Consider the following 18899-nt stretch of genomic DNA (forward strand, 5'->3'; position numbering starts at 1 on the left):
ATGTCAGTGATCCAAATTCAGAATTCAATCCCAGAGTTCTACTTTCTATGATAACTTCTGGCCCCAAATTTGTATGAATTTCCCCCACAGCAGAGTCTGAGACAGTTAATTGGGTAAGGGTTATTTATTTTGGACATAATTCTAGGAAGCAGGAATGAGGGGACAAAAGAGCCAATACAAGGGGCATTATGTAGGTTGCTGCTGAGGGGAATGGGGATTGGATTATGTTAACACCTCCTAAACACAGTACAGAATGTCTCCCTGAATTTTTCTCCCAAAGGAAAGCAGGTAGGGGCAACGGTCCACCAGCACTTGTGTAACATTCTTAAGGACTTCTCCTGCAGATGTGAGTCCCCTGTAATCCTGTACTTGTATGTGGGCAAAGAGGATTCCTGAAACTTCAGAGAAGGTAGAGAGATGCATAGCACTCTTGAGACCAAACACTGTCAATGCAAAGTGACAATTGTAGATAAAATGTGAAAAGAGCAGAGGGAGTGTGACATGGTACTGTATTAGTCTGTTCTCATGCTGCTAATAAAGACATATCCAAGACTAGGTAATTTATAAAAGGAAGAGGTTTAATTGACTCACTGTTCCACATGGCTGGGGAGGCCTCACAATCAGAGTGGAAGGTGAATGAGGAGCAAAGTCACGTCTTACATGGAGGCAGGAAAGAGAGAGCATGTGCAGGGGAACTCCCCTTAATAAAACCATCAGATCTCATAAGACTTATTCACTATCACTAGAACAGCATTGGAAAGACCCACCTCCATGATTCAATTACCTTCCACTGGGTACCTCCCAGTGTGGGAATTATGGGAGCTACAATTCAAGATGAGATTTGGGTGGGGACACAGTCAAACTATATCAGGTACCCAAGGATCAGCTGTAACTGATATCTATAGGTGACTGCTACAGATTAATAGATGTATAACACAGCAACGGCTGATTATCTGTTTTTGTGGATTGTTGGCTATTGAAGCTCAAAGTATTCAATTTGAGTACGCTAATAAAATATCTAAAGAGAAAGCTCTCATTAATGCAAATGTGTAAATCAAAACATACTAAACTAAGGCACATCATTCACTTTTTTCTCACAATATTTTTCCCATATAAATTTCCTGTCTTAGTCAATTTGTGTTGCTATAACAAAATACCACAGACTAGGTAATTTATAAGCAATAGACATTTATTGCACATGGTTTTGAAGACTGCAGACTCCAAGATCAAGGCACTGGCAGGAACAGAAAGGCAAGAGAGGAAAACTCAACCAGTTCCCTGCAGCACTTTTATAAGGCACTAATCCATTCATGAGGGCACAGCCCTCATGACATAATCCTTTCCCCAAAGTGCCGCCTCTTATTACCACCATGATAGAGACTGAGTTTGAATACATGAATTTTGGGGGACATTCAGACCATAACATCTTTATTTCATTACTTTTGTAATCTCAATCATGATTATTTCAACTTAGGAACACTGCAATAACATTTCTTTTTAAACTTTTTATTTTGAAATAATTGCAGATGCAAAGGAAGTTGTAAAACAGTGTTGTTCTATGTACTCCTCCCCCGGCTTCCCCCAATGCCATACAATTTTAATTCTATCTCCATTTCAACTTTCCAACATGCACATATAGAGCTACCAGATTAATCTTTCAAAAGCCTACATTTAATCATGTCACTCTTAACCGATATACAATTTCTTCACGTAACCTGTTGTTCTGCATTTAAGACTACTTCTTCACCAATTCTATAGGTTTAGCTCCTCTTTTGGTTTCACCCATTCATCAAATATTTATTAAAACCTTATGGGGTGTTTGAAATACAGCAGTAAGCAAGACTGGCAATAAAGTGTTTCTTCTAGTTGGATTGGAAGACGTATTTTTTAGCACTGTGTGGGACACAGCATCACCTTAACACCCAGCTGCTTCAATCTCTCAGAAAGCACAGCTGGCAATCAGTACCTGACCATGGCCCTGCACGGTTGGACTCACACTCAACTGCTAGTGAGTAAGAAGAACAAAAATCTTATAATCTGCAGAGCCTCTACATCTTAGAGCTATAGAAAAACAATAGAGAATAACTGAAAGGGATATAATAGTTTCCAACTTCTGACTAATGGTTTACTCTGTGATTACAATTTGAATGCTAGCTCAGCAGGGTGATTCATTTGAGAAAGCTCTGCCCTGATACCTTGCTCTTCCCTGGGTGGCCCTTCATCCTTAAAATCTCTGTGTTCCAAGAGTAAACTCTTTTTGTGCATTTGTTGGCAGAAAAAGGAAATTTCAGGGTAGACAAAGTGCCCAGAAGGAAATCTCTAAAGAGGCTTTTGTTTTTGAAGGGCTTAGACTTACATAAGTGATTAAACTAAGCTTATCTAAATGCAGACATTTAGTGTGGGGAGGGATGCTGAAAGGATGGCATTGGAGCCTCCCTAACTGGGAGGAGGATAACAGATTTTCCAATATCACAGTGAGTTGTACCTGCCCAAACAGTTCCTCTGAAGGGCTGGGTTCTGGATGGGGATGCCTGCTTGGTGGCTTGTGAATACTGAACACTGAGCTCTGTAGCTTTGCCCTGGCACCTCCTGTATTCAAACTTGGCCCACTGGAGAAAGCTTCCAGTATTGTTGCTGGCATTGGCTGGACTACAAGGATTCAAACAGGGATCTTAACACTGGCAACCAGAACCTGTCCTATTTCTCAGTATGTTTTAAAATACGAGGCAAATCCTAGGGTTCTTATATAATAAAAGAAGTGGGAACAGAGCTTTGAGAACTGTCTAGTACTGAAAATTTCACCAACTTAGATATTTGGAGACTTTGGCCAATATTTTTAAAAAATGATATTATCTGTAGTCAAAGTGCCATGGAGCAATATATTTCTGTTACATAATAGCTTTAAAGGGGATTAATTTAACCAAAAATTTCTCAGTGCTGTAGAGGTATCTGGCTCCATACATTCATTTTCATTCTATTTTAATAAAATAAAGCCAGCCAAATAAATCGCTCTCTCGTTGATATTAAGCTCCTTTCCCATTCATATGTCGGAAAACCAATATTGCCTGGTAGAATGCAATGCATTGACTTATGAAGTGTTAGCATACTTTGCTGCAAAGAAATTCTTATCGTGTGAATTCTGGCATTTGAAGTAACTAAGACACATAGTATAATCGCTTGAAGCCGAAGAAGGCAAATCTTTTCTGCAGCTGGCTTGTGGGAAGTGGACTACAGCAGACTACAACATGCTATTATTTCTCTTATTTTAAAAACAGCCACAACAATTTTCTCTTTCTACTCTACCTTGTGCTGTTTTGCTCCTTTGCTTTATACAGAAGCAACTCAAGAAAACTGTCTGTCATTCGTGTCTTTTCTAACTCTCATGCCCACATCACTATAACCAAATTCCTCCTATCAACGTCATAGATTTCGTTTTTGCTAAAGCAAATAACCAGTTCACTATCCCTATCTTTCTTTTTTTTTTTCTTTTTTTTATTATTATTATACTTTAAGTTTTAGGGTACATGTGCACAATGTGCAGGTTTGTTACATATCAAAACGTGTGCCATGTTGGTGTGCTGCACCCATTAACTCGTCATTTAGCATTAGGTATATCTCCCAGTGCTATCTCTCCCCCCTCCCCCCACCCCACAACAGTCCCTGGTGTGTGATGTTCCCCTTCCTGTGTCCAGGTGTTCTCATCGTTCAATTCCCACCTATGACTGAGAACATGTGGTGTTTGGTTTTTTGTCCTTGCGATAGTTTGCTGAGAATGATGGTTTCCAGCTTCATCCATGTCCCTACAAAGGACATGAACTCATCATTTTTTATGGCTGCATAGTATTCCTGGTGCATATGTGCCACATTTTCTTAATCCAGTCTATCATTGTTGGACATTTGGGTTGGTTCCAAGTCTTTGCTATTATGAATAGTGCCACAATAAACATATGTGTGCATGTATCTTTATAGCAGCATGATTTATAATCCTTTGGGTATATACCCAGTAATGGGATGGCTGGGTCAAATGGTATTTCTAGTTCTAGATCCCTGAGGAATCGCCACACTGACTTCCACAATGGTTGAACCAATTTACAGTTCCACCAACAGTGTAAAAGTGTTCCTATTTCTCTACATCCGCTCCAGCACCTGTTGTTTCCTGACTTTTTAATGATCGCCATTCTAACTGGTGTGAGATGGTATCTCATTGTGGTTTTGATTTGCATTTCTCTGATGGCCAGTGATGATGAGCATTTTTTCATGTGTTTTTTGGCTGCATAAATGTCTTCTTTTGAGAAGTGTCTGTTCATATCCTTCGCCCACTTTTTGATGGGGTTGTTTGTTTCCTTCTTGTAAATTTGTTTGAGTTCATTGTAGATTCTGGATATTAGCCCTTTGTCAGATGAGTAGGTTGCAAAAATTTTCTCCCATTCTGTAGGTTGCCTGTTCACTCTGATGGTAGTATCTTTTGCTGTGCAGAAGCTCTTTAGTTTAATTAGATCCCATTTGTCAATTTTGGCTTTTCTTGCCATTGCTTTTGGTGTTTTAGACATGAAGTCCTTGCCCATGCCTATGTCCTGAATGGTATTGCCTAGGTTTTCTTCTAGGGTTTTTATGGTTTTAGGTCTAACGTTTAAGTCTTTAATCCATCTTGAATTAATTTTTGTATAAGGTGTAAGGAAGGGATCCAGTTTCAGCTTTCTACATATGGCTAGCCTGTTTTCCCAGCACCATTTATTAAATAGGGAATCCTTTCCCCATGGCTTGTTTTTCTCAGGTTTGTCAAAGATCAGATAGTTGTAGATATGCAGCATTATTTCTGAGGGCTCTGTTCTGTTCCATTGGTCTATATCTCTGTTTTGGTACCAGTACCATGCTGTTTTGGTTACTGTAGCCTTGTAGTATAGTTTGAAGTCAGGTAGCATGATGCCTCCAGCTTTGTTCTTTTGGCTTAGGATTGACTTGGCAATGCGGGCTCTTTTTTGGTTCCATATGAACTTTAAAGTAGTTTTTTCCAATTCTGTGAAGAAAGTCATTGGTAGCTTGATGGGGATGGCATTGAATGTATAAATTACTTTGGGCAGTATGGCCATTTTCACGATATTGATTCTTCCTACCCATGAGCATGGAATGTTCTTCCATTTGTTTGTATCCTCTTTTATTTCATTGAGCAGTGGTTTGTAGTTCTCCTTGAAGAGGTCCTTCACATCCCTCGTAAGTTGGATTCCTAGGTATTTTATTCTCTTTGAAGCAATTGTGAATGGGAGTTCACTCATGATTTGGCTCTCTGTTTGTCTGTTATTGGTGTATAAGAACGCTTGTGACTTTTGCACATTGATTTTGTATCCTGGGACTTTGCTCAAGTTGCTTATCAGCTTAAGGAGATTTTGGGCTGAGAAGATGGGGTTTCCTAGATATACAATCATGTCATCTGCAAACAGGGACAATTTGACTTCCTCTTTTCCTAATTGAATGCCCTTTATTTCCTTCTCCTACCTGATTGCCCTGGCCAGAACTTCCAACACTATGTTGAATAGGAGTGGTGAGAGAGGGCATCCCTGTCTTGTGCCACTTTTCAATGGGAATGCTTCCAGTTTTTGTCCATTCAGTATGATATTGGCTGTGGGTTTGTCATAGATAGCTCTTATTATTTTGACATACATCCCATGAATACCTAATTTATTGAGAGTTTTTAGCATGAGGGGCTGTTGAATTTTGTCAAAGGCCTTTTCTGCATCTATTGAGATAATCATGTGGTTTTTGTCTTTGGTTCTGTTTATATGCTGGATTATGTTTATTGATTTTTGTATGTTGAACCAGTCTTGCTTCCCAGGGATGAAACCCACTTGATCATGGTGGATAAGCTTTTTGATATATTGCTGGATTTGGTTTGCCAGTATTTTATTGAGGATTTTTGCATCAATGTTCATAAATGATATTGGTCTAAAATTCTCTTTTTTTTGTTGTGTCTCTGCCAGGATTTGGTATCAGGATGATGCTGGCCTCATAAAATGAGTTAGGGAGGATTCCCTCTTTTTCTATTGAGTGGAATAGTTTCAGAAGGAATGGTACCAGCTCCTCCTTGTAACTCTGGTAGAATTCAGCTGTGAATCCATCTGGTCCTGGACTTTTTTTGGTTGGTAAGCTATTAATTATTGCCTCAATTTCAGAGCCTGTTACTGGTCTATTCAGAGATTCAACTTCTTCCTGGTTTATTCTTGGAGGGTGTATGTGTCAAGGAATCTATCCATTTCCTCTAGATTTTCTAGTTTATTTGTGTAGAGGTGTTTATAGTATTCTCTGATGGTAGTTTGTATTTCTGTGGGATCGGTGGTGATATCCGCTTTGTAATTTTGTATTGCGTCTATTTGATTCTTCTCTCTTTTTTTCTTTATTAGTCTTGCTAGTGGTCTATCAATTTTGTTGATCTTTTCAGAAAACCAGCTCCTGGATTCATTGATTTTTCGAAGGGTTTTTTGTGTCTCTATTTCCTTCAGTTCTGCTCTGATCTTAGCTATTTCTTGCCTTCTGCTAGCTTTTGAATGTGTTTGGTCTTGCTTCTCTAGTTCTTTTAATTGTGATGTTAGGGTGTTAATTTTAGATCTTTCCTGCTTTCTTTTGTGGGCATTTAGTGCTATAAATTTCCCTCTACACACTGCTTTGAATGTGTCCCAGAGATTCTGGTATGTTGTGTCTTTGTTCTCATTGGTTTCAAAGAACATCTTTATTTCTGCCTTCATTTCATTACGCACCCAGTAGTCATTCAGGAGCCAAGATGGCCGAATAGGAACAGCTCCAGTCTATAGTTCCCAGCATGAGCGACGCAGAAGACGGGTGATTTCTGCATTTCCAACTGAGGTACCGGGTTCATCTCACTGGGGAGTGCCGGACAGTGGGTACAGGACAGTGGGTGCAGCACACTGTGCCTGAGCCAAAGCAGGGCGAGGCATCACCTCACCCAGGAAGTGCAAGGGGTCAGGGAATTCCCTTTCCTAGTCAAAGAAAGGGGTGACAGACAGCACCTGGAAAATCAGGTCACTCCCACCCTAATACTGTGCTTTTCCAATGGGCTTAACGAACGGCACACCAGGAGATTATATCCCACACATGGCTCAGAAGGTCCTACGCCCACGGAGCCTTGCTCATTGCTAGCACAGCAGTCTGAGATCAAACTGCAAGGTGGCAGTGAGGCTGGGGGTGGGGCGCCCGCCATTGCTCAGGCTTGAGTAGGTAAACAAAGTGCCCGGGAAGCTCGAACTGGGTGGAGCCCACCACAGCGAAAGAAGGCCTGCCTGCCTCTGTAGGCTCCACCTCTGTGGGCAGGGCACAGACAAACAAAAGACAGCAATAACCTCTGCAGACTTAAATGTCCTTGTCTGACAGCTTTGAAGAGAGTAGTGGTTCTCCCAGCACGCAGCTTGAGATCTGAGAATGGGCAGGCTGCCTCCTCAAGTGGGTCTCTGACCCCCGAGTAGCCTAACTGGGAGGCACCCCCTAGTAGGGGCGGACTCACACCTCACACGGCCGGGTACTCCTCTGACACAAAACTTCCAGAGGAACGATCAGGCAGCAGCATTTGTGGTTCACCAATATCCACTGTTCTGCAGCCACTGCTGCTGATAGCCAGGCAAACAGGGTCTGGAGTGGACCTCCAGTAAACTCCAACAAACCTGCAGCTGAGGGTCCTGAATGTTAGAAGGAAAACTAACAAACAGAAAGGACATCCACACCAATGACCCATCTGTACGTCACCATCATCAAAGACCAAAGGTAGATAAAACTACAAAGATGGGGAATAAACAGAGCAGAAAACCCAGAAACTCTAAAAATCAGAGTGCCTCTCCTCCTCCAAAGGAACGCAGCTCCTCACCAGCAACAGAACAAAGCTGGATGGAGAATGACTTTGACGAGTTGAGAGAGGAAGGCTTCAGAAGATCAAACTACTCCGAGCTAAAGGAGGAAGTTCGAACTGATGGCAAAGAAACTGAAAACTTTGAAAAAAAAGTAGATGAATGGATAACTAGAATAACCAATGCAGAGAAGTCCTTAAAGGACCTGATGGAGCTAAAAACCATGGCACGAGGACTACGTGACAAATGCAGAAGCCTCAGTAACCAATGCAATCAACTGGAAGAAAGGGTATCAGCAATGGAAGACAAAATGAATGAAATGAAGCGTGAAGAGAAATTTAGAGAAAAAAGAATAAAAAGAAATGAACAAAGCCTCCAATAAATATGGGACTATGCGAAAAGACCAAATCTTCGTCTAACTGGTGTACCTGAAAGTGATGGGGAGAACGGAACCAAGTTGGAAAACACTCTGCAGATATTATCCAGGAGAACTTCCCCAATCTAGCAAGGCAGGCCAACATTCAAATTCAGGAAATACAGAGAATGACACAAAGATACTCCTTGAGAAGAGCAACTCCAAGACACATAATTGTCAGATTCACCAAAGTTGAAATGAAGGAAAAAGTGTTAAGGGCAGCCAGAGAGAAAGGTCAGGTTACCCACAAAGGGAAGCCCATCAGACTAACAGCGGATCTCTCGGCAGAAACTCTACAAGCCAGAAGAGAGTGGGGGCCAATATTCAACATTCTTAAAGAAAAGAATTTTCAACCCAGAATTTCATATCCAGCCAAACTAAGCTTCATAAGTGAAGGAGAAATAAAATACTTTACAGACAAGCAAATGCGGAGAGATTTTGTCACCACCAGGCCTGCCCTAGAAGAGCTCCTGAAGGAAGCACTAAACATGGAAAGAAACAACCAGTACCACCTGCTGCAAAAACATGCCAAACTGTAAAGACCATCAAGGCTAGGAAGAAACTGCATCAACTAATGAGCAAAATAACCAGCTAACATCATAATGACAGGATCAAATTCACACATAACAATACTAACCTTAAATGTAAATGGGCTAAATGCTCCAATTAAAAGGCACAGACTGGCAAATTGGATAGAGTCAAGACCCATCAGTGTGCGGTATTCAGGAAATCCATCTCACGTGCAGAGACACACATAGGCACAAAACAAAGTGATGGAGGAAGATCTACCAAGCAAGTGGAAAACAAAAAAGGCAGGGGTTGCAATCCTAGTCTCTGATAAAACAGACTTTAAACCAACAAAGATCAAAAGAGACAAAGAAGGCCCTTACATAATGGTAAAGGGATCAATTCAACAAGAAGAACTAACTATCCTAAATATATATCCACCCAATACGGGAGCACCCAGATTCATAAAGCAAGTCCTTAGTGACCTACAAAGAGACTTAGACTCCCACACAATAATAATGGGAGACTTTAACACCCCACTGTCAACATTACACAGATCAACGAGACAGAAAGTTAACAAGGTATCCAGGAATTGAACTCAGCTCTGCACCAAGCGGACCTAAAAGACATCTACAGAACTCTCCACCCCAAATCAACAGAATATACATTCTTTTCAGCACCACACCACACCTATTCCAAAATTGACCACATAGTTGGAAGTAAAGCTCTCCTCAGCAAATGTAAAAGAACAGAAATGATAAAAAACTGTCTCTCAGACCACAGTGCAATCAAAGTAGAACTCAGGATTAAGAAACTCACTCAAATCCCTATCTTTCTTAACTATCAGCAGCATTTAATTCAGATAGTCCCCACTCCTCCCTCTCTCCTCTACTTGACAGACTATCTTCAGTTGAATTTCAGACCCCACCCTTACCTGGTTTTTCTCTTGCTTCTCTGAAACTCCTGTTCAATCTCTGCTGCTACTTTCTCAACACCTAGCCTCTAAATGTTGGAAAGCCCAGGTCTCAGTCCTGGGTCCTTTTCTTGTTTCTACCTACACATGCTTCCTTAGTGATCTCATGCAGTATTATGGTTTTAAATATCATTAAAATGCTGATGATTCCTAATTCTGTCTTCACTCTGGGCCTCTCTCTTGAACTCAAGGTTTTAAGTCCTATTGCCTTCTCAATATCTCCACTGGGATGCCCATTAAGCATCATAAATAATGATGGATTTATTAAAGAAGAAATGAACAAACATCTGTATTGTATGAAGAATCCCAAGTCACAGTCCATGTGGGATATTACAGTTTGTGTGTTGCACAGTTTATTACAAATTTGTTTCCTCCCTTCTCCTCTGACTTTTTTTTTTTTTTTCTTTTTGATACGGAGTCTCGCTCTGTCGCCCAGGCTGGAGTGCAGTGGCGCAGTCTTGGCTCACTGCAAGCTCCGCCTCCCGGGTTCACGCCATTCTCCTGCCTCTGACTTCTAAATAGATGTAGTGGTGACAACAAAGTAAATGCTCAGTAAACTGTGGGATTTAAGTTTTGGATAACGAAGCATTTAATCAGTAAATCAGAAACTTTAGCAAATACTCCAAGTAAGGAAATTTGATTTAGTAACACTTAAGGGAGGATAAAGAATTTATTCATTTGTTCAACACATGTGCGCCAGGCTCTGTTCTAGGTATTGGAGAAATAGCAGGCAATAAGAAAATCTCTAAGTTCATCAAACTTGTGTTGTAGTGTGTGTGTGTGTTAGAGGAGGTAGTTCGAAAGGACAGATAAAAAACAAAACAAATAAATGTACAATAGCCGGATGATGAGAAGGGCTACGAAGAATACCAGTGGAAGGAACGGTGGCTCACGCCTGTAATCCCAGCACTTTGGGAGGCCAAGGCGGGCGGATCACGAGGTCAGGAGATCGAGACCATCCCGGCTAAAACGGTGAAACCCCGTGTCTACTAAAAATACAAAAAATTAGCCGGGCGTAGTGGCGGGCGCCTGTAGTCCCAGCTACTTGGGAGGCTGAGGCAGGAGAATGGCGTGAACCCGGGAGGCGGAGCTTGCAGTGAGCCGAGATCCCGCCACTGCACTCCAGCCTGGGCGACAGAGCGAGACTCCGTCTCAAAAAAAAAAAAAAAAAAAAAAAAAAAAAAAAAAAAAACAGTGGAAGGAATGGGGAATAGCATGAAGTGGCGTAGTATTAAAATAGGATGATCAGAGACCACCTGTGTGGAGCAGTGAAGTTTTAGCAAAGCCTTCAAGAAAGAGAAGGAAAAGATCATGCATATTCCTAGGAAAAGTGTTTTCAAGGCAGAGCATAAGTGAGGCAAATTCTCCAGAGAAACAAACAACAGACTCTTTCACGTGTCTGTAAGGCACAGTGCCTGCTACACAATTCTCAAATGCTGTTAGGCTTTGACTGGTTCCCCTCTCTCTCAACCCTATGCATAGTGGAACAGGGAGATCTTTGCAAAAGTATCCAGTGCATCTGCAAAAGTATAAAAGATATGTGATTTTTGTTTCATTTACATACTAGATTCTCTTTCTTATTCTGTATCCAAAAAAAATTGTTTATCTAGGTAAGAATGGGAACACAAAACGATAGCCAAGCCATCTTAATGGGAGCATCAATCAAAACAGTGTGATATTGTCTGTGGATACACGATGCTGTGGATGAGTATGAACAGAGAAAGGCAGGCTCATTTCAGTTTCTGTGAAAAGCTTAGCAAAAGGTGTTTTCTTGAGGGTAGAACCTTTGTCATACTGTGTTCATGTCCACATATGTGGCACCTGGCTGTGGATTTGAACAGGTTCTTCTCTTCCTTTCTCCTGTGAAGAACAATTTAAATCAACCTAAATCAGACTATTTCAACACATCTTTCCCTCTTCTTACACAAAGCATCCTATTTTCATATCATTTAATTCTGAGGTGCATGCTCTGGCAATTGCTCTTCCAATGTTTAAATCTCATTGCACAGCAAGGCACTGTTTGTTGGTCACTTTGGAGTGTTTGAAGATTACGGCTAAAAAAAACACAATTTTCTATGTTATGTGGCTGAAAAGAAAAGCGTCCTTATCTTTCTGGGAAATTCATTTTCTTAGACAAAGCATCCAACAGAGGGATAAAGGTACAGAGTTGCTTGACAGGCAGTGAGGTTGGTGAAATCACACAAAGCAATCAGTGAATGGAAACATGATCCAGCCCAATAATCCAGTTTCCCGTATTCATAAAGATTGTTAGAAGAGATTGTCTATCCTAGAGAAGGTGGGCTAATTGAAGTGAGTTGAACTAGTTATTTCTATATAAAGCTATTGTTTCTTAAATTCCTGACCTGGCTGTTGCAGATGGTTTTGGGGAGTTCTTTAGTTCTTTCATTTCTTACTTTATCTTGTACCTGAATAAAACAGCCTGCGTATGAATTCTTTGTAGTACTTTGTGCTGCAGGGTTTCAAAAAGCCATAATGAAGCACATTGCTACTAAAATTCTCTTCACATATCATCTTTTGAGTTATTATGTTAAAAAAGCTCTCAGTAGCCTATAGTCAAAATTATTAAAATCCTCTCCATTGTAGAGGTTAAGAAAGTGATAATTAAGACTCTCTGGTAGACCCCTAAATGATAAACAGCATTTTACAACAAATAGGAGGTCAATGTATATTTTAGAGAGTTAACATTGACCATATTGAGTTTACCTAGGCCCTCCAGGCTATATTTTATAATCAACTCCCACTCCCAAATAACAACAAGAAATTTTTTCTTATGTATATGTGTTTTTATGATGAAACCATTGGTTTTATGTACAACTCCTACTGCTTGATTAATACGATTTATTTCATTCAACTTGATAGATTATATTAACAAGGGATGGAGCAGGGGATTGTGTATAGTGCCTGGGCAATAAATCTAGGAACTATTTAAGTTCTATACCCCATGATTAGTAACATTTACCAATGACGCTTAGCTTGCTATGTAAAACACTATAGCATTTTACTTTCATTTGCACACGGGTAAAATGTACAAGAAATCATAGAACTATAGAGATGGAGGGAAAGCCTCTCATCTACCCTCTCTGAAGTTTCACTGAAATGAATGACAATTGACAGATTAAGAGGAGAAAGGGTATACAAATTTATTAACATTCATAAGCATAGAAACTATATAAAATATGAGACTCAGAGCAAAGCTAGATGGTTGAGGCTTATATGCCCTCTTCATGAGGGAGAGGAAGATGGCAGAAATATAGCCAATTTGAAGGATTGTAAATAATTTTAGGGGAACTTAAATAGCCCAAAGAACAGACAGTTGGCTTGGGACAAGTTTCCTCTGAGCTCTGGGGGAGATGGTGGCAAACTGCAAGAAGGTGTGGGGCGGAACTTCACCGTGAGCAAGGTTGTCTTATAATGCCGATAATCTTCCAAGTAATCTCTAGGAGCTACGCTCAGGATAATAAATGAAAGGTCGTCTGGGTGTACTGACGATTTTTAGTGATTAGTCTTTTCTGGTTATTAGATGAAGTTCCTAAGAAGGGACTATTAAGACAATTGCATTTCTAATGTTGGAACTTTCCTTCATTAGATAAGGAAATTTCCTCTTAGTGCTCAGGAAAGAAAGAGGATCAGAGGGGCAGGAGTGCAGGAGAAGGTTAGAGAGAGACCTTAGTTCTGAGACTTATTTTTGAGGCCTTTCAACTTCCTTTAATTCAAAGCAAGAAGAATGCCAAAGTGTCATATTTTGGAATATTATTTTCTGAGCCCCAACAAAGCTTAAATAAGAAGAATACAACAAATCAGGTACAGAAATTATTAAGATAATCACACAGTTCCAGGCTTCCTCCTCATTCTGCCTGCTCAAAGAGTTATGGCTTTGTCTGGTCCTATTTCCTATTGTTTCCTACCTTTCACAGAAAAAGTTGTCAGTATTTTAAACTCTTGTGAGCTAGAATTTGAAGAAGCTGGGGGGTATGGAGGAGCAATACAAAGACAAAAATTCCTGAGGGCAGGATTGAGAAATGCCCTCAAATTCCACCTTTCCTGGTTTAGATTCCATGATCCATCACCCTTCGTTCCTTAAAATCTCTCCATGGTACTGGTTTGACCAAACTCAACTGTAATGAATCCAATCTGTGCACATACTCCCTAAAATGCAACTGTGAACAAAGAAAAATATAGTCATGTTTACCTACCTTATTTTAAGTGTTTATAACTAATCTCCACTTGTGCCTTAACACTGCCCTTCAATCATTGACTTCCCTAGTTAGTAAACACTTCCACTTTCAGACCCTCTCCCCGTTTTCTAGTCATCAACATTCCTTTCATATCCTCATTCTCAGCTGATGAATATGCTTATTTTATTTAAAACTTGAAACAATCAGAAAAAAAACATACTCATCCTTCCTCTACCAAACCTTCCTATTTGTGTATAGACCCAAATAATTTACCCTTCTTTTGGTTATAATAATGAACTCTTCTGATCCTCTCTACATTAATCCCTTCGTTTATGTATAGAATATCATTTGTTATTTCCTACCTAAGGATTTTATTCCTACAAAAATTCTCTCCCCCTCTCTTCTCCCGCTTCTTTACCTCTCCCCACCTCAACATTTCCCTCCACTTTACGATCATTTAAATTGGAATAAGATGAATTATCTTTCATTTTAAAACAAAACATCTGTTAGATCCCACATTTTCAACTCTCTGCTGCCTGATTTCACACCTCCCTTTTACAGAAAAACCTTTGATAATGTTCTTTATTTGCTGTCTCTACACTTCCCCCTTCCATTCTTTCTAGAAACTTTTCCAAGCATGCTGAAACTACTTCAGCCAATGTCACTCAAGCCCTCCAATTTTCCAAAGGCAATGCCAGTTCCTAGTATTGATCATACTTAACTTTCTGCAGCATTTGGCACAGTTAATTTCTTTCTCTCATTCTTGAAATGCTTTCTTAATGTGGCTCCAAGGATACCACACTCTCCATGTTTTGCACCTACCTCTCCAGAATCCTCCAATAGAATCAAAGATTCTATTCCTCAGATTTATTGGAGCTCCCTCCTTTCCGACCTTTAAATGTTGGCATGCCCAGGGTTTATTCTTCCACGTGGCATCTCCAGGTAATCTCCTCAGGTTTTACAGTTCCTTAACATGTGATTCACACTGATAACCCAGATGACTTCATGATGTCTTAGCTCCAGACTAAAAAATCCACCTGCTTAATAAATAGATCTAGTATGATGTCCAATAAGTAATTGCAATTTATATACCTAAAATAGAACTCATGATTTCCCCTCACCCTTGCAAACAACTGCTTTCAAAAGTCTCCAACTCTACTCCACCGTGCTTGAATCTAAGATTTCTTGGAAGTAACTTAGTAGTTTTAACTAAAGGATATTATCAGGATTTCCTTAAGAGTGCATGTGTTTTCCTTTAATGATTTCTTATTTAGAAATATATTGTACTTTCACACTTTGATGAGCTTTAAGGATTCTTTTAATGGTGGATACAACACAGTGACACTCAGAAGAAAGCAACTCTGTTACTTTCATCCTCATGAGAGAGTCACACAGGGAACAGCACCAGGAAACAGGGAACAGCAAACTGGAGCTACTGTGGGGGCTGCTGATGTATGGCAGGTAGTATGGGGTTCCCTAGGTTTCTCTGCATCTTTGTGGACTGGCTAATTTGAATAATTTCCAGGGCTCTGAGCTTCAGGGCATAGGCACTCTCTCTAGCTGTGTAGTAACTGGGACCAGGGAAATTAGGGCAGGTGCTTGGTGGCCCAGAATGTGAGAACTGGATAAGGGGAGTGAGTGGAGTGTGGATTTAATCAGCTGCCCAGGAAGGGGAACTGACAGTCACTAGTCAGGGTCTCAAAACTGGGTCAAGACAAAATTAAAGAGAAGAATAAAAAAAAAACTATATTACACTTGTCTTAGTATTCACACAGACACTAACACATACACAACCCCCCCAATGTATCTATAACTCTATCTACATGTAAAGATTTGTTAATTAATCTCCAATTGATCTTTTCTTTCTTTTCTGTCACCTTTAGGTTGCTATTCCAGTTTGCTTAGTTAAGACACTTCACTACTTTTTCTTTTAGACAGAATACTTGGATGGAGTGCTGTTGTATTTTTCTTTAACCTTGAGATGTAATAGAATCTTAGCTGGGTCTACAATTCATAAACTGCACCATTTTCCTCACAGTGGTTGGTAGCTGCTCTTTCACTGTCTTCAGGCTTCCACTGTTTCAGATGAGGATTCTGACTTTTTTTTTTTCCTTTGCTTTTTCTACCTTGAATCTTGTCATATTTTTCCCCTTCCTTAGAATTCAGGAGGTTTACAGAATGTCCTAGGTGTCTATGTTATTTCTTATCAGTCTGACCTGGACCTCACAGAAACCATTTAATCTGGGATATGAGCTTTTTCATTGAGAAAAAAATAAATTCTATTATTTTATTTTCATTGGCAATCCTCCATCTGTCTTTTTCTCTTACTGGTACATCTTTTACTATCTCCTGTTATATCCTCCAAGATTCATTTTCCCCCCCTTATTGTTTGTATTTCTTTGTAATTGTTTTTCTGTGCTTTGTGATTTTTTTTGTTGTTGTTCTTGATCTTCTAGGACACACACATGAGTAGTAAACATCCTCTCCTTCAAATCATTCACAGAATTGTTTGGTTGAGAAATCGTGTTGTTAATCACCACATATTCTTTATCTGGGTATGAGCCACACTTGATTCTCCTCTAAAATGTTTATTATTTTTAATTGAATTCTCTATATCCCTCAGTGGGTTTACTTCTCTGGATATGCATTCTGATTTTTCTGGTCACTCTTTGAATGTAGGTAGCTTTTAGATAGGTTGTTATTTTCCTTCTGGGAATGTTGAGGTTCAGGCCAAATGGAGGAGTCTCAAAAGTGGTAGAAGTCAAGGCTGGCTGTACCCATAGACTGAGAGTATAGGAAGAAATGTTTTGCCATGCCCTGCAAAGGTCCCCATGGTAAGTCACAAGGAGTGTGGATTTCCTTATACTTCCAGCTTTAGGGGAAAACTGCTTGACACTTAATCTCTCCAGCTTCTTCTTGGCATTTTTAAGGCCAGGGAAGTCATTTCTCTGCAAAGGAGGGAGGGTTTCTCACTAGTTCTCTTTGTTTGGACTCCAAGAGTGCCAGACATTTCTTGGTCCCCTGTCCCTTCGGGTCCCAGAAGTCACTTGACTCACTAGTTGCTCTCTAATCCTTTATCTTCCTTTATTTTTATTAGGTTATTTACTTACACGTATATCATCATACTCTCTCACCAGAATAAAAGCTCCATGGGGCCCAAATCTCTGGTTCAGAATTCTTTCTCCAGGGCTTGACACATATATAGCACAGGTTTCATAAATGTTCTAGAAGTTGAATGATGTAAGAGATGGGGAGAGTTTGTGAAGGCAAGAACAGTGGTGCGAGAGTGAGGGAAATGGATAGAAGTGGAATGATCAAGGAATATTATTGTAGAGTATTTGTGTTGAAAAAATGCCAAGAAGTCTATGAACCATGTTGAGATCTCTTGATGCCATTTGTCTTTTTCTTTCTACAACATTCTTCTGTGGGCCATGGTTTCAATAGGGTGAAGAATATGAATAAACAGGTGGTCTTTGTATGACTTGTATATATTTTTAAAGTATACAATTCAAAAGAATGCATTGTATGTACATGTATAATCAATTAATGCTAAGGGGGAAAATAAACAATGACATTATTAAATCAAAGATTTGATTTTTAACTTGCAGCCATTTGGGGTAGACAGCGATAACCTCACTGAACAATCCATTTAACGAGATATCTATATGTACTTACATACATCTACAGTGGTGTTTGATGGACAGGAACATGCATCAAGAGACTAGGTGTAGAAACCAAAGAAGGGAACAGAAACTTCAGAAGAAAAATGTTGGGAAAGGCAAAGAAAAGCATACTGTTTCTGTGTCTGCTCACAGTGCTTAACTTACCCTACCATCATGTAGCATATCAGGAAACAAAACCAAAAATATTTAATAAAATCATTAAATATTATTAAAGCATACTATAATATATTCAATTTTTATCTGCCTTAGGTGAAATAAGTTTGAGATTCTTGACACAGATAAAGTATTGACACAGATAAAGTAGTAGGAAACATTTAGTTTTCTAAATCATTTGCACAAAATCTCCCATTTATTTCATTGTAAATTCATTTATTTTATGTGGCTGGAGAAAAAAAAGTAGAAGAAAGTTAACATAGAAGAGCAAACTAATTCAGTACATGAATACACTGTGTTATATATAACTAGGAAATATTTGAATGAATGTATTGATCATCTAAGCCAGGTAAGTTAAACATGAATTTGCAGACCTTTAGTCTTTATATATCTAAAATATGTATATATCTTAATATATATATATTTATATATTATAAATATGTATATATGTTAATATATTTAAGCATATATACACATCATATATATGATATATATTTGGTAAATATCTTATATATGAGATAAATATTTGTATGTATCATTAGATATATAAGATATATATAATAATTAGCTATACAGGCATCCTTTCATAAATGAAAGATTTTGAGACAGATTTATTCATATTAAAAAAATCTAAAATTTGTACATTCTTGTAAAATTCATGTATATTAAATCAAAGGAAAAAAAAACATGAAAGCCCCTGGACACCTGAATTTTAGCTCTGGTTTGTCTACAGTTTGGGTTCTTAATATTTTTGGGTGATTTATAAGATGAAGATGTTTAACTATATAATCTTAAGATCTAATTATATAGTTTTAATGACTAGAATAAATTTCGGCTTAAAAACATCCTGATTAGAAATGACCTTAATTGCAGAATTTATGTGTGCAAGTGACGTGGTGTGGCGGTCTGCTTATACATACATATACATATATATACACATATTTATACACAAACAAATGTGCATATTTGTTGGTATTTACTAAAGTGAAGTCTTCAGTTCAAAATGTTAAATTTGACTAAATATAGTTAGTTACATGTTTATGAAGTCATCTATTGTCTTAAGCAACAGAAGGATTCTATTATTTTGACAAGAAGAATGTGGGAATGCTTAGGTATCTGTTTGGC

The sequence above is a fragment of the Homo sapiens genome, chromosome 8 (assembly GCF_000001405.40).
Source record: "Homo sapiens chromosome 8, GRCh38.p14 Primary Assembly".
In the NCBI taxonomy this organism is placed as follows: domain Eukaryota; kingdom Metazoa; phylum Chordata; class Mammalia; order Primates; family Hominidae; genus Homo; species Homo sapiens.